This window comes from Homo sapiens, chromosome 1 (assembly GCF_000001405.40).
Source record: "Homo sapiens chromosome 1, GRCh38.p14 Primary Assembly".
Taxonomy (NCBI): Eukaryota; Metazoa; Chordata; class Mammalia; order Primates; family Hominidae; genus Homo; species Homo sapiens.
In genome coordinates this window covers 149,531,835-149,556,967 of record NC_000001.11, presented here as the reverse complement: position 1 = coordinate 149,556,967, position 25,133 = coordinate 149,531,835, and the positions used below count along the sequence as shown (strand labels likewise).

At 43.7% G+C, this 25,133-nt stretch overlaps 1 protein-coding gene across 1 annotated transcript in view; it reads right to left on the bottom strand.

The window, feature by feature from the left end:
* Positions 1-606: 606 nt before the first annotated feature.
* Positions 607-25,133, bottom strand: part of NBPF19 (NBPF member 19) — an 81,317-nt gene continuing 56,790 nt past the window's right edge. The window contains exons 66-94 of the mRNA NM_001351365.2: positions 24,451-24,623; positions 23,690-23,741; positions 22,871-23,043; positions 22,048-22,156; positions 21,242-21,414; positions 20,471-20,522; positions 19,696-19,868; positions 18,935-18,986; positions 18,120-18,292; positions 17,297-17,405; positions 16,495-16,667; positions 15,724-15,775; positions 14,943-15,115; positions 14,182-14,233; positions 13,383-13,555; positions 12,560-12,668; positions 11,758-11,930; positions 10,987-11,038; positions 10,206-10,378; positions 9,445-9,496; positions 8,646-8,818; positions 7,823-7,931; positions 7,021-7,193; positions 6,250-6,301; positions 5,469-5,641; positions 4,708-4,759; positions 3,909-4,081; positions 3,086-3,194; positions 607-2,473 (exon numbers count right to left, since the gene is read on the bottom strand). Of these exons, the coding sequence (NP_001338294.1) occupies positions 2,230-2,473; positions 3,086-3,194; positions 3,909-4,081; positions 4,708-4,759; positions 5,469-5,641; positions 6,250-6,301; positions 7,021-7,193; positions 7,823-7,931; positions 8,646-8,818; positions 9,445-9,496; positions 10,206-10,378; positions 10,987-11,038; positions 11,758-11,930; positions 12,560-12,668; positions 13,383-13,555; positions 14,182-14,233; positions 14,943-15,115; positions 15,724-15,775; positions 16,495-16,667; positions 17,297-17,405; positions 18,120-18,292; positions 18,935-18,986; positions 19,696-19,868; positions 20,471-20,522; positions 21,242-21,414; positions 22,048-22,156; positions 22,871-23,043; positions 23,690-23,741; positions 24,451-24,623 (3,679 nt within the window). The 3' untranslated portion in view covers positions 607-2,229. The remainder of the gene's footprint in view (positions 2,474-3,085; positions 3,195-3,908; positions 4,082-4,707; positions 4,760-5,468; positions 5,642-6,249; positions 6,302-7,020; positions 7,194-7,822; positions 7,932-8,645; positions 8,819-9,444; positions 9,497-10,205; positions 10,379-10,986; positions 11,039-11,757; positions 11,931-12,559; positions 12,669-13,382; positions 13,556-14,181; positions 14,234-14,942; positions 15,116-15,723; positions 15,776-16,494; positions 16,668-17,296; positions 17,406-18,119; positions 18,293-18,934; positions 18,987-19,695; positions 19,869-20,470; positions 20,523-21,241; positions 21,415-22,047; positions 22,157-22,870; positions 23,044-23,689; positions 23,742-24,450; positions 24,624-25,133) is intronic.

Sequence of the window (25,133 nt, the reverse complement as noted above, 5' to 3'; positions counted from 1 at the left end):
GGATGGTCTCGATTTCCTGACCTCGTGATCCGCCCGCCTTGGCCTCGCAAAGTGCTGGGATTACAGGCATAAGCCACCGCGCCCGGCCAAAAAAGCCTAATTCTTACCAGCTGGTGCCGTGCAGTTCCAGGCTCTTGGTGTCCCAAACAAAGACACCAAGAGCCTGGAACTGCACCAAAAACCAAAACCAAGGTAGGGGCAAGATGATAATCACAGAATGTCACCGGTATATGTTTAGGTTCAAATACTATTATGAGAAGTGGCAGGTAAAGGAGGTAGGAAAAAGAAAACACATCATGTAATTGACTGTTGTATGGAAATATTTGATGCTGAAAGTTATAATTTAAAAGTATAAACCAAATATTAGAAGTGTGTCTAGTTCAAAGGGAGGAAAACCATCAAAAACATTTTTAGTGCAATATTTAACATGAGCTATACAACCCTTCCTAAATGCCAAAGGCACACACAGACACACACACAGACACACACACACACACACTCTCACACTTACGAAGAATACAAATGACTAGAACGAAGAAATGTAAATACATTCTGCTACATATGGTAAACATAGCCTACAATGTGGAAGAGATTAGAAAATAAACATGGAAATGAAATGTTTTTATTAATTCACATCAGTACCCACCAAAACCAATCAGCATAATCAAATATTATAACACTGAATGTAAAAAACAATCCAAAAGTCCAGAGTGATAGGCAAAAGGTTTTAATTGTATAGATTAAAATTAACTTTGGACAAAAATTAAAACTCAGGCAGAGAATGTTTTCTTCTTTTTGCAACAGCAGACACTAGTAAAAACAAAGGCACAGTAAAAATTGAGACCCAAATTTTGCAGCGTAGAGATATGAATATAATAATAGACACAGGCAGGGAGGATTAATAAATGATAAAATGTTTAGAGGATGATCATTAGAATACAGGATATTTATACTCTTGAAAACCGCTTTCCCAAGTACTTCATTATAAGTAAGGTGTCTCTAAAAGGGACAGATCTCCTAGACCCCTCCTTAACCAAGTAACCAGTCCTGATATCATAATGGTGATGGACAAACTAGACCTTCTCTGCCCGCAGATGGGCTGAGGTTGGAAACTCACAGCATTGTCTCTGCAGTGTTCCCGGCAAAACGTTTAGGCTGAATTTAATCATGAAGACATTTTCAGACAACTTCAGAATGTAGATCATTGAGCCAGAGAGCTGACCTGTCCTCTATAAACAAGTCCATGTCACCACCATCCATGACAACAACAAAAAGATGAGGAAATATTTGGGGTTCAAAATAACTAAAGAAATGCAGCTACATTATCTTTTTACTTTTTTTGAACCCAAAATATATCTTCTCCTTTTTGTTGTGTGATTTGTGGTGATATGGACTATGTGAAGGAGACAGGTCAGTTGTCCTGCTCAGTGTTCTACATTCTGCAGTTGTCTGGTGATTACCTCCTATGAAACTCAGGCTAAGCGTTTTCTGCAAGAACATGGCATTGTTCATATTCTGCACCGGCAGAGTCCTGGGTGACATGCTGTCTCCTGCCAGCGGCTCCTGACTCCTGTTCTCTACAGGATGGAATTGAGAGGAGCAGGGCTAAGGCCTCCCAATGCTGTTTGTCCATCTAGCTGTGGTCTTCCTAAGTACTGACACCAATTGGAGGCTGAAGGACTGTGGCTTCTCTAACCAAAGGAGCCTAGCGGGTTAACAATTGTAAAGAGCAGTTGGTGGTTCTGAAATACAATCCTCAGCCAAGGATCCCTCCTGTGTTACAGATGGATCAGCTAAAACAAGCCAACACTGAAGACACAAAGAATGAGGTTAGGTTCATTGAAACCAGGGTAACACCTTTGGATGAGCTAAACACAAAGATGACACTGACCTTGAGCAGGTATAGAAGCTCAGAGACATGCCTGCAAAATGAAATCCCTGAGGAATTTTGTAGCTACCCAAAGATACGTGGTTCAAATTAAAATGTCCGACTGATCACTCCCGGCATGTGCTGCACAGTTATGTGAACGTGTCACACCTAACGTGGGTCCATTGTCTTCAGACTGAGCACAGGTTGCCACTGGCATGGTTTGAGAATAGGAAAAGAGCCATGCCCACTGACCCATCCTATGTCTGGGCTTCCAAATGGAACTGTAGTTTCATTCAAATCTTCACGTGCCTATAGGTCCTGCCTGCAGGAATGACATCTCTCGGCTTAGTAAGGGCTGCCTATTGTGGGAATATGACTAACATCTGGAACACCAGATGGAGACTTGTCACCGTCAAAGTAAAAAACCTATTGTCCAAGTAAAGGGCGAAGCTGATATGCTCTTCCTCAAATGAGTAAAACACACTTCTGTAGTGCTGGAATGAGTCAGGTAGTTCAAAGTACATTGACGGAGTCGAATAACATCCATCCAGTGAGTCCTGTAAGACTTCAGGCTCTTCCACTTCCATCAGCACGCTGTTGAGCCTGGAAAAGGAGACAAAACTAAAGAAGCAGCCAGGGAAAATCAGACACCACAGAGCCCCACTAGATTTCAGAAGTCACATAAGGAAGTGGTTAGAAAAGAAAAAGGATAGATCCATTAATGAGGTAAAAAAAAAAATTTATTGCCTTTATGTTGGGATAGAACAGGGCCAGGTAGAAAACAATGAAAGAGAAAGACAGAGAGAGAGAGACAGAGACAGAGACAGAGAGAAAGTGACCTAGTGAATTGGCCAGGTGACATACTGGTAAGGGAGTAAAAGGACACTCTGAGTTAGTGCCCTCATGACACACAGCAAACTGTGATCATGAAAAGAGTGAGCTCAATAGTTTTCCATAAAATATGCTCAAAATTCGATGCAGTGGCCATGAGAGTACAGCTTTTGAAGTATGGTCAACCTATGGTACGCTAGTAAATGATAAGGGGAGGAAGAAATGGAAACCTAAACATCTACTGCAATGAAAACCAACAGCAATGACAGTAGGAGTAATTCAGCCTTCGTTGAAAACATGACATCAAACACACTCTGGTTTCCCTGAATCTGTTGCCTCCAGGTGTTAACACAGAATTAAGCATCCACAATTGCTGAAAGTCACCTGGGGCATGGTGGGTTTTGATCTTCTTCCCCTTCTTTTCTTCCCCTTCTTCTTTCCTTCTTTGATCTTCTTCCCCTTCTTTTCTTCCCCTTCCCCTTCTTTTCAATTTCTGCAATAAATTCAGACATGGACAGACACATTAAGCTGATTCCCCTACACACATAACAATCCACTGTCTAATCCTCACACAGGGACCTCAGGCTCCTCAGCATAAGAATAGGACACTGTGAGAGATATATTTCAGGAGGCCTGAAGGCTGGTCATGATAGAAATTCCTCGGTTTTTCTCCCAGAAACTGTGGGTAAAATGTCCCTATTCTAGTAGATCGTTATCCCAATATCATTTGTCCCAAGTTTGTGCAAACAGTTATGCCATATTTTTCCAATCAATTTAAAGCAAATACCCTCAAATGATTTCTGGGAGAAAAACTGCAATATTTAGCCCTGTCTCATCAAATACTCAGATTGTTCATGGTTGTGAGGACTTTAGACACTGAAATTAGAGTGAAAAAGGAAATCTACAAACCCTTGAGTCAAAATCATAGTTCTCTGAATTTGTCACATCTGCCCAGGTCCAATGTCATGAGAGTAGAATCAGAGTGCCACAGGTATGGCCTGAGACTAGGAAGAGAGCCATGCTCACTGACCCATCCCATGTCTGGGCTTCCAGGTAGAACTAGAGTTTCATTCAACCTACATGTGCCTATAGGTCCTCACTGCGGCAATGACATCTCTCAGCTCAGTAATGGCCACTTGGAGCAGGAATATGATCTTTATATGGAAGACTCAGTGGATGCTTATCACCTTCATAGAAAGGTACTCACCTCCCACGTCAAGAGAAAAGCCAACATGTTTTTCCTCCAATGCATAAAAGGAACTTCCATAGGGCTGGCAGGAGTCAGGCTGTTCAAGACAACTGGAAGGAGTTGAATAACATCTATCCAGTGAGTCCTGCAAGACTTCAGGCTCTACTACCTCCAGCAGCTCCCTGCTGAGCCTGGAAAAGGAGGAAAAAGTAAAGAATAAGCCAGGGGAAATCACACACAACAGAGCCCCAACTAGGTTTCATGGGTAGCATAAGGAAGTGGTTAAGAAAGTAAAAGGATAGATCCATTAATGAGGTAACAAATTATTGCCTTCATGTTGGGACAGAACAGGGCCAAATGGAAAAGAATGAAAGAGAAAGACAGATAGACACACACACACACACAGACACACACACAGAGAGAGAGAGAACGAGCTCAGTGAATTGTCCAGGTGACACACTGATGAGGGAGTAACAGGACACTCTGAGTTAGTGCCCTCAGGACACACAGCATACAGTGATCATGAAAAGACTGTGCTCAATAATTTTCCATAAAATGTGTTCAAGTTTCCATGCAGTCGCCATGAGAATACAGTTTTTGAAGTCTGGTCCACCTACAGTAGGTTAGTAAATGATAAGGGGAGGAAGAAATGGAAACCTAAATATCTACTGCAATGAAAACCAACAGCAATGTTAGTAGGAATAATTCAGGCTTGCTTGAAAAGATGTAATCGATAATGTCAGCCCGCTCTGTTTTCCCTGAACCAGGAGTCTCCAGATGTCAACACAGAAGTAGCTGTTCACAATTGCTCAGTTACCTGGGGCATGGTGGGCCTTGGTCTTCTTCCTCTTCTTGGTCCTTTTTAATTCCTGCAATACATTCAGACAGGGACAGACAAAATAAGCCAATTCACCTACACCCATAACAGTCCACTGTCTAATCCCCACACAGGGATCTCAGGCTCCTCAGCATGAGAACAGGACAATGTGAGAGATATACTTCAGGAGGCCTGAAAGCTGGTCATGATATTCTTTGGTTTGCATCTCAGAACCAAGGGTGAAATATCCCCATTCTGGAAGATCGTTATCCCAAAATCACTTATCCCAAGTTTGTGCAAACAGTTATGCCTTATTGTTCCCATCAGTTCAAAGAAAATGCCCCAGATGATTTCTAGGAGGAAAACTGCAGTATTCAGCCCTGTCTCATCAAATGCCCAGCTCGTTCATGGATGTAAGAATTTTAGACACTGAAATTAGAATGAAGGAGGAAATCTACAAACCCTTGAGTCCAAATCATAGTTCTGTGAATTTTTTACATCTGCCTGGGTCCAATGTGCTGAGAGCGGGCTCAGGTTGCCACAGGCATGGCTGGAGACTAGGAATAGAGCCTTGCTCACTGACCCATTTCATGTCTAGGCTTCCAACTGAGACTACAGTTTCATTACAACCTATATGCGCCCATAGGTCCTGCCTGCGGCAATGACATCTCTCGGGTCAGTAAGGGCCACTTGGAACAGGAATATCACCCCTATCTGGAAGACCAGGTGGAGGCTTATCACCTTCATAGTAAGGTACTCACTGTCCACGTCAAGAGCCAAGCCAAGGTACTGTTCCTCCAATGAGTAAACAGCACTGCTGTAGGGCTGGCCTAAGTCAGGCAGTTCAAGATAACCTGAAGGAGTCGAATAACATCTATCCAGTGGGTCCTGCAAGACTTCAGGCTCTTTCTCAGCCAGCAGCTCCCTGCTGAGCCTGGAAAAGTAGGAAAAAGTAAAGAATAAGCCAGGGGGAATCAGAAACCACACAGCCCCAGCTAGATTTCATGGCTAACATAAGGAACTGTTTAAAAAGAAAAAGGACAGATCCATTAATGAGGTAATGAATTATTGCCTTTATGTTGGGATAGACCAGGGCCAGGTAGAAAAGAATGAAAGAGAAAGACAGGGAGAGGGAGAGAGAGAGAGAGAGAGAGAGAGAGGAGAAAGTGAGCTCAGCGAGTTGGCCGGGTGACACACTGATGAAGGGGTCAAAGGACACTCTGAGTTAGTGCCCTCGGGACACACAGCGAACAGTGATCATGAAAAGAGTGGGCTCAATAATTTTCCATAAACTTGCTCAAGATTCCATGCAGTTGCCATACAGCCTTTGAGGTATGGTCAACCTATAGTAAGTTAGTAAATGTTAAGGGGAGGAAGAAATGGAAACCTAAACATCTACTGCAATGAAAACCAACAGCCATGTCAGTAGGAGTAATTCAACCTTCGTTGAAAACATGAAATTGAACACACTCTTGTTTTCCCTGGACCTGGCATCTCCAGGTGTCAACACAGAATTAAGCATCCATAATTGCTCAAAGTTACCTGGGGCATGATGGGTCTTGGTCTTCTTCCACTTCTTGGTACTTTTCAATTTCTGCAATAAGTTCAGACATGGACAGACATATGAAGCTGGTTCTCCTACACACATAACAATCCACTGTCTAATCCTCACACAGGGACTTCAGGCTCCTCAGCATGAGAATAGGACACTGTGAGAGATATTCTTCAGGAGGCCTGAAGGCTGATCACCATAGAGATTCCTTGGTTTTTGTCCCAGAAACTGTGGGTAAAATTCCCTATTCTGGTAGATCGTTATCCCAATATCATTTGTCCCAAGTTTGTGCAAATGGTTATGCCATATTTTTCCAATCGATTTAAAGCAAATACCCCCAAATGGTTGCTAGGAGAAAAACTGCACTATTCAGCCCTGTCTCATCAAATACTCAGATTGTTCATGGTAGCGAGGATTTTAGACGCTGAAATTAGAGTGAAGGATGAAATCTACAAGATCTACAAAATTGAGACAAAATCAGAGTTGTGTGAATTTGTCACATCTGCCCAGGTCCAGTGTCATGAGAGTAGGATTAGGGCTCCACAGGCATGGCCTGAGACTAGGGAGAGAGCCTTGCTCACTGACCCATCCCTTGTCTGGGCTGCCAAGTGGAACTAGAGTTTCATTCAACCTACATGTGCCTATAGGTCCTCCCTGTGGCAATGACATCTCTCAGCTCAGTAAGGGCCACTTGCAGTAGGAATATGACCCTAACCAGAAGACTCAGTGGATCCTTATCACCTTCATAGAAAGGTACTCACCATCCATGTCAACAGCCAAGCCAACACACTGTTGCTCCAATATGTAAAAGGCACTTCTGTAGGGCTGGCATGAGTCAGTCAGTTCAAGACAACCTGAAGGAGTTGAATAACATCTATCCAGTGAGTCCTGCAAGACTTCAGGCCCTTTCTCATCCAGCAGCTCCCTGCTGAGCCTGGAAAAGTGGGAAAAAGTAAAGAATAAGCCAGGGGGAATCAGAAACCACACAGCCCCAGCTAGATTTCATGGCTAACGTTAAGGAAGAGTTTGAAAAGAAAAAGGACAGATCCATTAATGAGGTAACAAATTATTGCCTTTATGTTGGGATAGAACAGGGCCAGGTAGAAAACAATGAAAGAGAAAGACAGAGAGAGAGAGAGAGACAGAGACAGAGAGAGAGACAGAGACAGAGACAGAGAGAAAGTGACCTAGTGAATTGGCCAGGTGACATACTGGTAAGGGAGTAAAAGGACACTCTGAGTTAGTGCCCTCATGACACACAGCAAACTGTGATCATGAAAAGAGTGAGCTCAATAGTTTTCCATAAAATATGCTCAAAATTCGATGCAGTGGCCATGAGAGTACAGCTTTTGAAGTATGGTCAACCTATGGTACGCTAGTAAATGATAAGGGGAGGAAGAAATGGAAACCTAAACATCTACTGCAATGAAAACCAACAGCAATGACAGTAGGAGTAATTCAGCCTTCGTTGAAAACATGACATCAAACACACTCTGGTTTCCCTGAATCTGTTGCCTCCAGGTGTTAACACAGAATTAAGCATCCACAATTGCTGAAAGTCACCTGGGGCATGGTGGGTTTTGATCTTCTTCCCCTTCTTTTCTTCCCCTTCTTCTTTCCTTCTTTGATCTTCTTCCCCTTCTTTTCTTCCCCTTCCCCTTCTTTTCAATTTCTGCAATAAATTCAGACATGGACAGACACATTAAGCTGATTCCCCTACACACATAACAATCCACTGTCTAATCCTCACACAGGGACCTCAGGCTCCTCAGCATAAGAATAGGACACTGTGAGAGATATATTTCAGGAGGCCTGAAGGCTGGTCATGATAGAAATTCCTCGGTTTTTCTCCCAGAAACTGTGGGTAAAATGTCCCTATTCTAGTAGATCGTTATCCCAATATCATTTGTCCCAAGTTTGTGCAAACAGTTATGCCATATTTTTCCAATCAATTTAAAGCAAATACCCTCAAATGATTTCTGGGAGAAAAACTGCAATATTTAGCCCTGTCTCATCAAATACTCAGATTGTTCATGGTTGTGAGGACTTTAGACACTGAAATTAGAGTGAAAAAGGAAATCTACAAACCCTTGAGTCAAAATCATAGTTCTCTGAATTTGTCACATCTGCCCAGGTCCAATGTCATGAGAGTAGAATCAGAGTGCCACAGGTATGGCCTGAGACTAGGAAGAGAGCCATGCTCACTGACCCATCCCATGTCTGGGCTTCCAGGTAGAACTAGAGTTTCATTCAACCTACATGTGCCTATAGGTCCTCACTGCGGCAATGACATCTCTCAGCTCAGTAATGGCCACTTGGAGCAGGAATATGATCTTTATATGGAAGACTCAGTGGATGCTTATCACCTTCATAGAAAGGTACTCACCTCCCACGTCAAGAGAAAAGCCAACATGTTTTTCCTCCAATGCATAAAAGGAACTTCCATAGGGCTGGCAGGAGTCAGGCTGTTCAAGACAACTGGAAGGAGTTGAATAACATCTATCCAGTGAGTCCTGCAAGACTTCAGGCTCTACTACCTCCAGCAGCTCCCTGCTGAGCCTGGAAAAGGAGGAAAAAGTAAAGAATAAGCCAGGGGAAATCACACACAACAGAGCCCCAACTAGGTTTCATGGGTAGCATAAGGAAGTGGTTAAGAAAGTAAAAGGATAGATCCATTAATGAGGTAACAAATTATTGCCTTCATGTTGGGACAGAACAGGGCCAAATGGAAAAGAATGAAAGAGAAAGACAGATAGACACACACACACACACAGACACACACACAGAGAGAGAGAGAACGAGCTCAGTGAATTGTCCAGGTGACACACTGATGAGGGAGTAACAGGACACTCTGAGTTAGTGCCCTCAGGACACACAGCATACAGTGATCATGAAAAGACTGTGCTCAATAATTTTCCATAAAATGTGTTCAAGTTTCCATGCAGTCGCCATGAGAATACAGTTTTTGAAGTCTGGTCCACCTACAGTAGGTTAGTAAATGATAAGGGGAGGAAGAAATGGAAACCTAAATATCTACTGCAATGAAAACCAACAGCAATGTTAGTAGGAATAATTCAGGCTTGCTTGAAAAGATGTAATCGATAATGTCAGCCCGCTCTGTTTTCCCTGAACCAGGAGTCTCCAGATGTCAACACAGAAGTAGCTGTTCACAATTGCTCAGTTACCTGGGGCATGGTGGGCCTTGGTCTTCTTCCTCTTCTTGGTCCTTTTTAATTCCTGCAATACATTCAGACAGGGACAGACAAAATAAGCCAATTCACCTACACCCATAACAGTCCACTGTCTAATCCCCACACAGGGATCTCAGGCTCCTCAGCATGAGAACAGGACAATGTGAGAGATATACTTCAGGAGGCCTGAAAGCTGGTCATGATATTCTTTGGTTTGCATCTCAGAACCAAGGGTGAAATATCCCCATTCTGGAAGATCGTTATCCCAAAATCACTTATCCCAAGTTTGTGCAAACAGTTATGCCTTATTGTTCCCATCAGTTCAAAGAAAATGCCCCAGATGATTTCTAGGAGGAAAACTGCAGTATTCAGCCCTGTCTCATCAAATGCCCAGCTCGTTCATGGATGTAAGAATTTTAGACACTGAAATTAGAATGAAGGAGGAAATCTACAAACCCTTGAGTCCAAATCATAGTTCTGTGAATTTTTTACATCTGCCTGGGTCCAATGTGCTGAGAGCGGGCTCAGGTTGCCACAGGCATGGCTGGAGACTAGGAATAGAGCCTTGCTCACTGACCCATTTCATGTCTAGGCTTCCAACTGAGACTACAGTTTCATTACAACCTATATGCGCCCATAGGTCCTGCCTGCGGCAATGACATCTCTCGGGTCAGTAAGGGCCACTTGGAACAGGAATATCACCCCTATCTGGAAGACCAGGTGGAGGCTTATCACCTTCATAGTAAGGTACTCACTGTCCACGTCAAGAGCCAAGCCAAGGTACTGTTCCTCCAATGAGTAAACAGCACTGCTGTAGGGCTGGCCTAAGTCAGGCAGTTCAAGATAACCTGAAGGAGTCGAATAACATCTATCCAGTGGGTCCTGCAAGACTTCAGGCTCTTTCTCAGCCAGCAGCTCCCTGCTGAGCCTGGAAAAGTAGGAAAAAGTAAAGAATAAGCCAGGGGGAATCAGAAACCACACAGCCCCAGCTAGATTTCATGGCTAACATAAGGAACTGTTTAAAAAGAAAAAGGACAGATCCATTAATGAGGTAATGAATTATTGCCTTTATGTTGGGATAGACCAGGGCCAGGTAGAAAAGAATGAAAGAGAAAGACAGGGAGAGGGAGAGAGAGAGAGAGAGAGAGAGAGAGGAGAAAGTGAGCTCAGCGAGTTGGCCGGGTGACACACTGATGAAGGGGTCAAAGGACACTCTGAGTTAGTGCCCTCGGGACACACAGCGAACAGTGATCATGAAAAGAGTGGGCTCAATAATTTTCCATAAACTTGCTCAAGATTCCATGCAGTTGCCATACAGCCTTTGAGGTATGGTCAACCTATAGTAAGTTAGTAAATGTTAAGGGGAGGAAGAAATGGAAACCTAAACATCTACTGCAATGAAAACCAACAGCCATGTCAGTAGGAGTAATTCAACCTTCGTTGAAAACATGAAATTGAACACACTCTTGTTTTCCCTGGACCTGGCATCTCCAGGTGTCAACACAGAATTAAGCATCCATAATTGCTCAAAGTTACCTGGGGCATGATGGGTCTTGGTCTTCTTCCACTTCTTGGTACTTTTCAATTTCTGCAATAAGTTCAGACATGGACAGACATATGAAGCTGGTTCTCCTACACACATAACAATCCACTGTCTAGTCCTCACACAGGGACTTCAGGCTCCTCAGCATGAGAATAGGACACTGTGAGAGATATTCTTCAGGAGGCCTGAAGGCTGATCACCATAGAGATTCCTTGGTTTTTGTCCCAGAAACTGTGGGTAAAATTCCCTATTCTGGTAGATCGTTATCCCAATATCATTTGTCCCAAGTTTGTGCAAATGGTTATGCCATATTTTTCCAATCGATTTAAAGCAAATACCCCCAAATGGTTGCTAGGAGAAAAACTGCACTATTCAGCCCTGTCTCATCAAATACTCAGATTGTTCATGGTAGCGAGGATTTTAGACGCTGAAATTAGAGTGAAGGATGAAATCTACAAGATCTACAAAATTGAGACAAAATCAGAGTTGTGTGAATTTGTCACATCTGCCCAGGTCCAGTGTCATGAGAGTAGGATTAGGGCTCCACAGGCATGGCCTGAGACTAGGGAGAGAGCCTTGCTCACTGACCCATCCCTTGTCTGGGCTGCCAAGTGGAACTAGAGTTTCATTCAACCTACATGTGCCTATAGGTCCTCCCTGTGGCAATGACATCTCTCAGCTCAGTAAGGGCCACTTGCAGTAGGAATATGACCCTAACCAGAAGACTCAGTGGATCCTTATCACCTTCATAGAAAGGTACTCACCATCCATGTCAACAGCCAAGCCAACACACTGTTGCTCCAATATGTAAAAGGCACTTCTGTAGGGCTGGCATGAGTCAGTCAGTTCAAGACAACCTGAAGGAGTTGAATAACATCTATCCAGTGAGTCCTGCAAGACTTCAGGCCCTTTCTCATCCAGCAGCTCCCTGCTGAGCCTGGAAAAGTGGGAAAAAGTAAAGAATAAGCCAGGGGGAATCAGAAACCACACAGCCCCAGCTAGATTTCATGGCTAACGTTAAGGAAGAGTTTGAAAAGAAAAAGGACAGATCCATTAATGAGGTAACAAATTATTGCCTTTATGTTGGGATAGAACAGGGCCAGGTAGAAAACAATGAAAGAGAAAGACAGAGAGAGAGAGAGAGACAGAGACAGAGAGAGAGACAGAGACAGAGACAGAGAGAAAGTGACCTAGTGAATTGGCCAGGTGACATACTGGTAAGGGAGTAAAAGGACACTCTGAGTTAGTGCCCTCATGACACACAGCAAACTGTGATCATGAAAAGAGTGAGCTCAATAGTTTTCCATAAAATATGCTCAAAATTCGATGCAGTGGCCATGAGAGTACAGCTTTTGAAGTATGGTCAACCTATGGTACGTTAGTAAATGATAAGGGGAGGAAGAAATGGAAACCTAAACATCTACTGCAATGAAAACCAACAGCAATGACAGTAGGAGTAATTCAGCCTTCGTTGAAAACATGACATCAAACACAGTCTGGTTTCCCTGAATCTGTTGCCTCCAGGTGTTAACACAGAATTAAGCATCCACAATTGCTGAAAGTCACCTGGGGCATGGTGGGTTTTGATCTTCTTCCCCTTCTTTTCTTCCCCTTCTTCTTTCCTTCTTTGATCTTCTTCCCCTTCTTTTCTTCCCCTTCCCCTTCTTTTCAATTTCTGCAATAAATTCAGACATGGACAGACACATTAAGCTGATTCCCCTACACACATAACAATCCACTGTCTAATCCTCACACAGGGACCTCAGGCTCCTCAGCATAAGAATAGGACACTGTGAGAGATATATTTCAGGAGGCCTGAAGGCTGGTCATGATAGAAATTCCTCGGTTTTTCTCCCAGAAACTGTGGGTAAAATGTCCCTATTCTAGTAGATCGTTATCCCAATATCATTTGTCCCAAGTTTGTGCAAACAGTTATGCCATATTTTTCCAATCAATTTAAAGCAAATACCCTCAAATGATTTCTGGGAGAAAAACTGCAATATTTAGCCCTGTCTCATCAAATACTCAGATTGTTCATGGTTGTGAGGACTTTAGACACTGAAATTAGAGTGAAAAAGGAAATCTGCAAACCCTTGAGTCAAAATCATAGTTCTCTGAATTTGTCACATCTGCCCAGGTCCAATGTCATGAGAGTAGAATCAGAGTGCCACAGGTATGGCCTGAGACTAGGAAGAGAGCCATGCTCACTGACCCATCCCATGTCTGGGCTTCCAGGTAGAACTAGAGTTTCATTCAACCTACATGTGCCTATAGGTCCTCACTGCGGCAATGACATCTCTCAGCTCAGTAATGGCCACTTGGAGCAGGAATATGATCTTTATATGGAAGACTCAGTGGATGCTTATCACCTTCATAGAAAGGTACTCACCTCCCACGTCAAGAGAAAAGCCAACATGTTTTTCCTCCAATGCATAAAAGGAACTTCCATAGGGCTGGCAGGAGTCAGGCTGTTCAAGACAACTGGAAGGAGTTGAATAACATCTATCCAGTGAGTCCTGCAAGACTTCAGGCTCTACTACCTCCAGCAGCTCCCTGCTGAGCCTGGAAAAGGAGGAAAAAGTAAAGAATAAGCCAGGGGAAATCACACACAACAGAGCCCCAACTAGGTTTCATGGGTAGCATAAGGAAGTGGTTAAGAAAGTAAAAGGATAGATCCATTAATGAGGTAACAAATTATTGCCTTCATGTTGGGACAGAACAGGGCCAAATGGAAAAGAATGAAAGAGAAAGACAGATAGACACACACACACACACAGACACACACACAGAGAGAGAGAGAACGAGCTCAGTGAATTGTCCAGGTGACACACTGATGAGGGAGTAACAGGACACTCTGAGTTAGTGCCCTCAGGACACACAGCATACAGTGATCATGAAAAGACTGTGCTCAATAATTTTCCATAAAATGTGTTCAAGTTTCCATGCAGTCGCCATGAGAATACAGTTTTTGAAGTCTGGTCCACCTACAGTAGGTTAGTAAATGATAAGGGGAGGAAGAAATGGAAACCTAAATATCTACTGCAATGAAAACCAACAGCAATGTTAGTAGGAATAATTCAGGCTTGCTTGAAAAGATGTAATCGATAATGTCAGCCCGCTCTGTTTTCCCTGAACCAGGAGTCTCCAGATGTCAACACAGAAGTAGCTGTTCACAATTGCTCAGTTACCTGGGGCATGGTGGGCCTTGGTCTTCTTCCTCTTCTTGGTCCTTTTTAATTCCTGCAATACATTCAGACAGGGACAGACAAAATAAGCCAATTCACCTACACCCATAACAGTCCACTGTCTAATCCCCACACAGGGATCTCAGGCTCCTCAGCATGAGAACAGGACAATGTGAGAGATATACTTCAGGAGGCCTGAAAGCTGGTCATGATATTCTTTGGTTTGCATCTCAGAACCAAGGGTGAAATATCCCCATTCTGGAAGATCGTTATCCCAAAATCACTTATCCCAAGTTTGTGCAAACAGTTATGCCTTATTGTTCCCATCAGTTCAAAGAAAATGCCCCAGATGATTTCTAGGAGGAAAACTGCAGTATTCAGCCCTGTCTCATCAAATGCCCAGCTCGTTCATGGATGTAAGAATTTTAGACACTGAAATTAGAATGAAGGAGGAAATCTACAAACCCTTGAGTCCAAATCATAGTTCTGTGAATTTTTTACATCTGCCTGGGTCCAATGTGCTGAGAGCGGGCTCAGGTTGCCACAGGCATGGCTGGAGACTAGGAATAGAGCCTTGCTCACTGACCCATTTCATGTCTAGGCTTCCAACTGAGACTACAGTTTCATTACAACCTATATGCGCCCATAGGTCCTGCCTGCGGCAATGACATCTCTCGGGTCAGTAAGGGCCACTTGGAACAGGAATATCACCCCTATCTGGAAGACCAGGTGGAGGCTTATCACCTTCATAGTAAGGTACTCACTGTCCACGTCAAGAGCCAAGCCAAGGTACTGTTCCTCCAATGAGTAAACAGCACTGCTGTAGGGCTGGCCTAAGTCAGGCAGTTCAAGATAACCTGAAGGAGTCGAATAACATCTATCCAGTGGGTCCTGCAAGACTTCAGGCTCTTTCTCAGCCAGCAGCTCCCTGCTGAGCCTGGAAAAGTAGGAAAAAGTAAAGAATAAGCCAGGGGGAATCAGAAACCACACAGCCCCAGCTAGATTTCATGGCTAACATAAGGAACTGTTTAAAAAGAAAAAGGACAGATCCATTAATGAGGTAATGAATTATTGCCTTTATGTTGGGATAGACCAGGGCCAGGTAGAAAAGAATGAAAGAGAAAGACAGGGAGAGGGAGAGAGAGAGAGAGAGAGAGAGAGAGGAGAAAGTGAGCTCAGCGAGTTGGCCGGGTGACACACTGATGAAGGGGTCAAAGGACACTCTGAGTTAGTGCCCTCGGGACACACAGCGAACAGTGATCATGAAAAGAGTGGGCTCAATAATTTTCCATAAACTTGCTCAAGATTCCATGCAGTTGCCATACAGCCTTTGAGGTATGGTCAACCTATAGTAAGTTAGTAAATGTTAAGGGGAGGAAGAAATGGAAACCTAAACATCTACTGCAATGAAAACCAACAGCCATGTCAGTAGGAGTAATTCAACCTTCGTTGAAAACATGAAATTGAACACACTCTTGTTTTCCCTGGACCTGGCATCTCCAGGTGTCAACACAGAATTAAGCATCCATAATTGCTCAAAGTTACCTGGGGCATGATGGGTCTTGGTCTTCTTCCACTTCTTGGTACTTTTCAATTTCTGCAATAAGTTCAGACATGGACAGACATATGAAGCTGGTTCTCCTACACACATAACAATCCACTGTCTAATCCTCACACAGGGACTTCAGGCTCCTCAGCATGAGAATAGGACACTGTGAGAGATATTCTTCAGGAGGCCTGAAGGCTGATCACCATAGAGATTCCTTGGTTTTTGTCCCAGAAACTGTGGGTAAAATTCCCTATTCTGGTAGATCGTTATCCCAATATCATTTGTCCCAAGTTTGTGCAAATGGTTATGCCATATTTTTCCAATCGATTTAAAGCAAATACCCCCAAATGGTTGCTAGGAGAAAAACTGCACTATTCAGCCCTGTCTCATCAAATACTCAGATTGTTCATGGTAGCGAGGATTTTAGACGCTGAAATTAGAGTGAAGGATGAAATCTACAAGATCTACAAAATTGAGACAAAATCAGAGTTGTGTGAATTTGTCACATCTGCCCAGGTCCAGTGTCATGAGAGTAGGATTAGGGCTCCACAGGCATGGCCTGAGACTAGGGAGAGAGCCTTGCTCACTGACCCATCCCTTGTCTGGGCTGCCAAGTGGAACTAGAGTTTCATTCAACCTACATGTGCCTATAGGTCCTCCCTGTGGCAATGACATCTCTCAGCTCAGTAAGGGCCACTTGCAGTAGGAATATGACCCTAACCAGAAGACTCAGTGGATCCTTATCACCTTCATAGAAAGGTACTCACCATCCATGTCAACAGCCAAGCCAACACACTGTTGCTCCAATATGTAAAAGGCACTTCTGTAGGGCTGGCATGAGTCAGTCAGTTCAAGACAACCTGAAGGAGTTGAATAACATCTATCCAGTGAGTCCTGCAAGACTTCAGGCCCTTTCTCATCCAGCAGCTCCCTGCTGAGCCTGGAAAAGTGGGAAAAAGTAAAGAATAAGCCAGGGGGAATCAGAAACCACACAGCCCCAGCTAGATTTCATGGCTAACGTTAAGGAAGAGTTTGAAAAGAAAAAGGACAGATCCATTAATGAGGTAACAAATTATTGCCTTTATGTTGGGATAGAACAGGGCCAGGTAGAAAACAATGAAAGAGAAAGACAGAGAGAGAGAGAGAGACAGAGACAGAGAGAGAGACAGAGACAGAGACAGAGAGAAAGTGACCTAGTGAATTGGCCAGGTGACATACTGGTAAGGGAGTAAAAGGACACTGTGAGTTAGTGCCCTCATGACACACAGCAAACTGTGATCATGAAAAGAGTGAGCTCAATAGTTTTCCATAAAATATGCTCAAAATTCGATGCAGTGGCCATGAGAGTACAGCTTTTGAAGTATGGTCAACCTATGGTACGTTAGTAAATGATAAGGGGAGGAAGAAATGGAAACCTAAACATCTACTGCAATGAAAACCAACAGCAATGACAGTAGGAGTAATTCAGCCTTCGTTGAAAACATGACATCAAACACAGTCTGGTTTCTCTGAATCTGTTGCCTCCAGGTGTTAACACAGAATTAAGCATCCACAATTGCTGAAAGTCACCTGGGGCATGGTGGGTTTTGATCTTCTTCCCCTTCTTTTCTTCCCCTTCTTCTTTCCTTCTTTGATCTTCTTCCCCTTCTTTTCTTCCCCTTCCCCTTCTTTTCAATTTCTGCAATAAATTCAGACATGGACAGACACATTAAGCTGATTCCCCTACACACATAACAATCCACTGTCTAATCCTCACACAGGGACCTCAGGCTCCTCAGCATAAGAATAGGACACTGTGAGAGATATATTTCAGGAGGCCTGAAGGCTGGTCATGATAGAAATTCCTCGGTTTTTCTCCCAGAAACTGTGGGTAAAATGTCCCTATTCTAGTAGATCGTTATCCCAATATCATTTGTCCCAAGTTTGTGCAAACAGTTATGCCATATTTTTCCAATCAATTTAAAGCAAATACCCTCAAATGATTTCTGGGAGAAAAACTGCAATATTTAGCCCTGTCTCATCAAATACTCAGATTGTTCATGGTTGTGAGGACTTTAGACACTGAAATTAGAGTGAAAAAGGAAATCTGCAAACCCTTGAGTCAAAATCATAGTTCTCTGAATTTGTCACATCTGCCCAGGTCCAATGTCATGAGAGTAGAATCAGAGTGCCACAGGTATGGCCTGAGACTAGGAAGAGAGCCATGCTCACTGACCCATCCCATGTCTGGGCTTCCAGGTAGAACTAGAGTTTCATTCAACCTACATGTGCCTATAGGTCCTCACTGCGGCAATGACATCTCTCAGCTCAGTAATGGCCACTTGGAGCAGGAATATGATCTTTATATGGAAGACTCAGTGGATGCTTATCACCTTCATAGAAAGGTACTCACCTCCCACGTCAAGAGAAAAGCCAACATGTTTTTCCTCCAATGCATAAAAGGAACTTCCATAGGGCTGGCAGGAGTCAGGCTGTTCAAGACAACTGGAAGGAGTTGAATAACATCTATCCAGTGAGTCCTGCAAGACTTCAGGCTCTACTACCTCCAGCAGCTCCCTGCTGAGCCTGGAAAAGGAGGAAAAAGTAAAGAATAAGCCAGGGGAAATCACACACAACAGAGCCCCAACTAGGTTTCATGGGTAGCATAGGGAAGTGGTTAAGAAACTAAAAGGATAGATCCATTAATGAGGTAACAAATTATTGCCTTCATGTTGGGACAGAACAGGGCCAAATGGAAAAGAATGAAAGAGAAAGACAGATAGACACACACACACACACACACACACACACACACACACACACACAGAGAGAGAGAGAGAACGAGCTCAGTGAATTGTCCAGGTGACACACTGATGAGGGAGTAACAGGACACTCTGAGTTAGTGCCCTCAGGACACACAGCATACAGTGATCATGAAAAGACTGTGCTCAATAATTTTCCATAAAATGTGCTCAAGTTTCCACGCAGTCGCCATGAGAATACAGTTTTTGAAGTCTGGTCCACCTACAGTAGGTTAGTAAATGATAAGGGGAGGAAGAAATGGAAACCTAAATATCTACTGCAATGAAAACCAACAGCAATGTTAGTAGGAATAATTCAGGCTTGCTTGAAAAGATGTAATCGATAATGTCAGCCCGCTCTGTTTTCCCTGAACCAGGAGTCTCCAGATGTCAACACAGAAGTAGCTGTTCACAATTGCTCAGTTACCTGGGGCATGGTGGGCCTTGGTCTTCTTCCTCTTCTTGGTCCTTTTTAATTCCTGCAATACATTCAGACAGGGACAGACAAAATAAGCCAATTCACCTACACCCATAACAGTCCACTGTCTAATCCCCACACAGGGATCTCAGGCTCCTCAGCATGAGAACAGGACAATGTGAGAGATATACTTCAGGAGGCCTGAAAGCTGGTCATGATATTCTTTGGTTTGCATCTCAGAACCAAGGGTGAAATATCCCCATTCTGGTAGATCGTTATCCCAAAATCACTTATCCCAAGTTTGTGCAAACAGTTATGCCTTATTGTTCCCATCAGTTCAAAGAAAATGCCCCAGATGATTTCTAGGAGGAAAACTGCAGTATTCAGCCCTGTCTCATCAAATGCCCAGCTCGTTCATGGATGCAAGAATTTTAGACACTGAAATTAGAATGAAGGAGGAAATCCACAAACCCTTGAGTCCAAATCATAGTTCTGTGAATTTTTTACATCTGCCTGGGTCCAATGTGCTGAGAGCGGGCTCAGGTTGCCACAGGCATGGCTGGAGACTAGGAATAGAGCCTTGCTCACTGACCCATTTCATGTCTAGGCTTCCAACTGAGACTACAGTTTCATTACAACCTATATGCGCCCATAGGTCCTGCCTGCGGCAATGACATCTCTCGGGTCAGTAAGGGCCACTTGGAACAGGAATATCACCCCTATCTGGAAGACCAGGTGGAGGCTTATCACCTTCATAGTAAGGTACTCACTGTCCACGTCAAGAGCCAAGCCAAGGTACTGTTCCTCCAATGAGTAAACAGCACTGCTGTAGGGCTGGCCTAAGTCAGGCAGTTCAAGATAACCTGAAGGAGTCGAATAACATCTATCCAGTGAGTCCTGCAAGACTTCAGGCTCTTTCTCATCCAGCAGCTCCCTGCTGAGCCTGGAAAAGTAGGAAAAAGTAAAGAATAAGCCAGGGGGAATCAGAAACCACACAGCCCCAGCTAGATTTCATGGCTAACATAAGGAACTGTTTAAAAAGAAAAAGGACAGATCCATTAATGAGGTAATGAATTATTGCCTTTATGTTGGGATAGACCAGGGCCAGGTAGAAAAGAATGAAAGAGAAAGACAGGGAGAGGGAGAGAGAGAGAGAGAGAGAGGAGAAAGTGAGCTCAGCGAGTTGGCCGGGTGACACACTGATGAAGGGGTCAAAGGACACTCTGAGTTAGTGCCCTCGGGACACACAGCGAACAGTGATCATGAAAAGAGTGGGCTCAATAATTTTCCATAAACTTGCTCAAGATTCCATGCAGTTGCCATACAGCCTTTGAGGTATGGTCAACCTATAGTAAGTTAGTAAATGTTAAGGGGAGGAAGAAATGGAAACCTAAACATCTACTGCAATGAAAACCAACAGCCATGTCAGTAGGAGTAATTCAACCTTCGTTGAAAACATGAAATTGAACACACTCTTGTTTTCCCTGGACCTGGCATCTCCAGGTGTCAACACAGAATTAAGCATCCATAATTGCTCAAAGTTACCTGGGGCATGATGGGTCTTGGTCTTCTTCCACTTCTTGGTACTTTTCAATTTCTGCAATAAGTTCAGACATGGACAGACATATGAAGCTGGTTCTCCTACACACATAACAATCCACTGTCTAATCCTCACACAGGGACTTCAGGCTCCTCAGCATGAGAATAGGACACTGTGAGAGATATTCTTCAGGAGGCCTGAAGGCTGATCACCATAGAGATTCCTTGGTTTTTGTCCCAGAAACTGTGGGTAAAATTCCCTATTCTGGTAGATCGTTATCCCAATATCATTTGTCCCAAGTTTGTGCAAATGGTTATGCCATATTTTTCCAATCGATTTAAAGCAAATACCCCCAAATGGTTGCTAGGAGAAAAACTGCACTATTCAGCCCTGTCTCATCAAATACTCAGATTGTTCATGGTAGCGAGGATTTTAGACGCTGAAATTAGAGTGAAGGATGAAATCTACAAGATCTACAAAATTGAGACAAAATCAGAGTTGTGTGAATTTGTCACATCTGCCCAGGTCCAGTGTCATGAGAGTAGGATTAGGGCTCCACAGGCATGGCCTGAGACTAGGGAGAGAGCCTTGCTCACTGACCCATCCCTTGTCTGGGCTGCCAAGTGGAACTAGAGTTTCATTCAACCTACATGTGCCTATAGGTCCTCCCTGTGGCAATGACATCTCTCAGCTCAGTAAGGGCCACTTGCAGTAGGAATATGACCCTAACCAGAAGACTCAGTGGATCCTTATCACCTTCATAGAAAGGTACTCACCATCCATGTCAACAGCCAAGCCAACACACTGTTGCTCCAATATGTAAAAGGCACTTCTGTAGGGCTGGCATGAGTCAGTCAGTTCAAGACAACCTGAAGGAGTTGAATAACATCTATCCAGTGAGTCCTGCAAGACTTCAGGCCCTTTCTCATCCAGCAGCTCCCTGCTGAGCCTGGAAAAGTGGGAAAAAGTAAAGAATAAGCCAGGGGGAATCAGAAACCACACAGCCCCAGCTAGATTTCATGGCTAACGTTAAGGAAGAGTTTGAAAAGAAAAAGGACAGATCCATTAATGAGGTAACAAATTATTGCCTTTATGTTGGGATAGAACAGGGCCAGGTAGAAAACAATGAAAGAGAAAGACAGAGAGAGAGAGAGAGAGAGACAGAGACAGAGAGAGAGACAGAGACAGAGACAGAGAGAAAGTGACCTAGTGAATTGGCCAGGTGACATACTGGTAAGGGAGTAAAAGGACACTGTGAGTTAGTGCCCTCATGACACACAGCAAACTGTGATCATGAAAAGAGTGAGCTCAATAGTTTTCCATAAAATATGCTCAAAATTCGATGCAGTGGCCATGAGAGTACAGCTTTTGAAGTATGGTCAACCTATGGTACGTTAGTAAATGATAAGGGGAGGAAGAAATGGAAACCTAAACATCTACTGCAATGAAAACCAACAGCAATGACAGTAGGAGTAATTCAGCCTTCGTTGAAAACATGACATCAAACACAGTCTGGTTTCCCTGAATCTGTTGCCTCCAGGTGTTAACACAGAATTAAGCATCCACAATTGCTGAAAGTCACCTGGGGCATGGTGGGTTTTGATCTTCTTCCCCTTCTTTTCTTCCCCTTCTTCTTTCCTTCTTTGATCTTCTTCCCCTTCTTTTCTTCCCCTTCCCCTTCTTTTCAATTTCTGCAATAAATTCAGACATGGACAGACACATTAAGCTGATTCCCCTACACACATAACAATCCACTGTCTAATCCTCACACAGGGACCTCAGGCTCCTCAGCATAAGAATAGGACACTGTGAGAGATATATTTCAGGAGGCCTGAAGGCTGGTCATGATAGAAATTCCTCGGTTTTTCTCCCAGAAACTGTGGGTAAAATGTCCCTATTCTAGTAGATCGTTATCCCAATATCATTTGTCCCAAGTTTGTGCAAACAGTTATGCCATATTTTTCCAATCAATTTAAAGCAAATACCCTCAAATGATTTCTAGGAGAAAAACTGCAATATTTAGCCCTGTCTCATCAAATACTCAGATTGTTCATGGTTGTGAGGACTTTAGACACTGAAATTAGAGTGAAAAAGGAAATCTACAAACCCTTGAGTCAAAATCATAGTTCTCTGAATTTGTCACATCTGCCCAGGTCCAATGTCATGAGAATAGGATCAGGGCGCCACAGGTATGGCCTGAGACTAGGAAGAGAGTCTTGCTCACTGACCCATCCCTTGTCTGGGCTTCCAGGTAGAACTAGAGTTTCATTCAACCTACATGTGCCTATAGGTCCTCACTGCGGCAACGACATCTCTCAGCTCAGTAATGGCCACTTGGAGCAGGAATATGATCTTTATATGGAAGACTCAGTGGATGCTTATCACCTTCATAGAAAGGTACTCACCTCCCACGTCAAGAGAAAAGCCAACATGTTTTTCCTCCAATGCATAAAAGGAACTTCCATAGGGCTGGCAGGAGTCAGGCTGTTCAAGACAACTGGAAGGAGTTGAATAACATCTATCCAGTGAGTCCTGCAAGACTTCAGGCTCTACTACCTCCAGCAGCTCCCTGCTGAGCCTGGAAAAGGAGGAAAAAGTAAAGAATAAGCCAGGGGAAATCACACACAACAGAGCCCCAACTAGGTTTCATGGGTAGCATAGGGAAGTGGTTAAGAAACTAAAAGGATAGATCCATTAATGAGGTAACAAATTATTGCCTTCATGTTGGGACAGAACAGGGCCAAATGGAAAAGAATGAAAGAGAAAGACAGATAGACACACACACACACACACACACACACACACACACACACACACACACAGAGAGAGAGAGAGAACGAGCTCAGTGAATTGTCCAGGTGACACACTGATGAGGGAGTAACAGGACACTCTGAGTTAGTGCCCTCAGGACACACAGCATACAGTGATCATGAAAAGACTGTGCTCAATAATTTTCCATAAAATGTGCTCAAGTTTCCACGCAGTCGCCATGAGAATACAGTTTTTGAAGTCTGGTCCACCTACAGTAGGTTAGTAAATGATAAGGGGAGGAAGAAATGGAAACCTAAATATCTACTGCAATGAAAACCAACAGCAATGTTAGTAGGAATAATTCAGGCTTGCTTGAAAAGATGTAATCGATAATGTCAGCCCGCTCTGTTTTCCCTGAACCAGGAGTCTCCAGATGTCAACACAGAAGTAGCTGTTCACAACTGCTCAGTTACCTGGGGCATGGTGGGCCTTGGTCTTCTTCCTCTTCTTGGTCCTTTTTAATTCCTGCAATACATTCAGACAGGGACAGACAAAATAAGCCAATTCACCTACACCCATAACAGTCCACTGTCTAATCCCCACACAGGGATCTCAGGCTCCTCAGCATGAGAACAGGACAATGTGAGAGATATACTTCAGGAGGCCTGAAAGCTGGTCATGATATTCTTTGGTTTGCATCTCAGAACCAAGGGTGAAATATCCCCATTCTGGTAGATCGTTATCCCAAAATCACTTATCCCAAGTTTGTGCAAACAGTTATGCCTTATTGTTCCCATCAGTTCAAAGAAAATGCCCCAGATGATTTCTAGGAGGAAAACTGCAGTATTCAGCCCTGTCTCATCAAATGCCCAGCTCGTTCATGGATGCAAGAATTTTAGACACTGAAATTAGAATGAAGGAGGAAATCCACAAACCCTTGAGTCCAAATCATAGTTCTGTGAATTTTTTACATCTGCCTGGGTCCAATGTGCTGAGAGCGGGCTCAGGTTGCCACAGGCATGGCTGGAGACTAGGAATAGAGCCTTGCTCACTGACCCATTTCATGTCTAGGCTTCCAACTGAGACTACAGTTTCATTACAACCTATATGCGCCCATAGGTCCTGCCTGCGGCAATGACATCTCTCGGGTCAGTAAGGGCCACTTGGAACAGGAATATCACCCCTATCTGGAAGACCAGGTGGAGGCTTATCACCTTCATAGTAAGGTACTCACTGTCCACGTCAAGAGCCAAGCCAAGGTACTGTTCCTCCAATGAGTAAACAGCACTGCTGTAGGGCTGGCCTAAGTCAGGCAGTTCAAGATAACCTGAAGGAGTCGAATAACATCTATCCAGTGAGTCCTGCAAGACTTCAGGCTCTTTCTCATCCAGCAGCTCCCTGCTGAGCCTGGAAAAGTAGGAAAAAGTAAAGAATAAGCCAGGGGGAATCAGAAACCACACAGCCCCAGCTAGATTTCATGGCTAACATAAGGAACTGTTTAAAAAGAAAAAGGACAGATCCATTAATGAGGTAATGAATTATTGCCTTTATGTTGGGATAGACCAGGGCCAGGTAGAAAAGAATGAAAGAGAAAGACAGGGAGAGGGAGAGAGAGAGAGAGAGAGAGGAGAAAGTGAGCTCAGCGAGTTGGCCGGGTGACACACTGATGAAGGGGTCAAAGGACACTCTGAGTTAGTGCCCTCGGGACACACAGCGAACAGTGATCATGAAAAGAGTGGGCTCAATAATTTTCCATAAACTTGCTCAAGATTCCATGCAGTTGCCATACAGCCTTTGAGGTATGGTCAACCTATAGTAAGTTAGTAAATGTTAAGGGGAGGAAGAAATGGAAACCTAAACATCTACTGCAATGAAAACCAACAGCCATGTCAGTAGGAGTAATTCAACCTTCGTTGA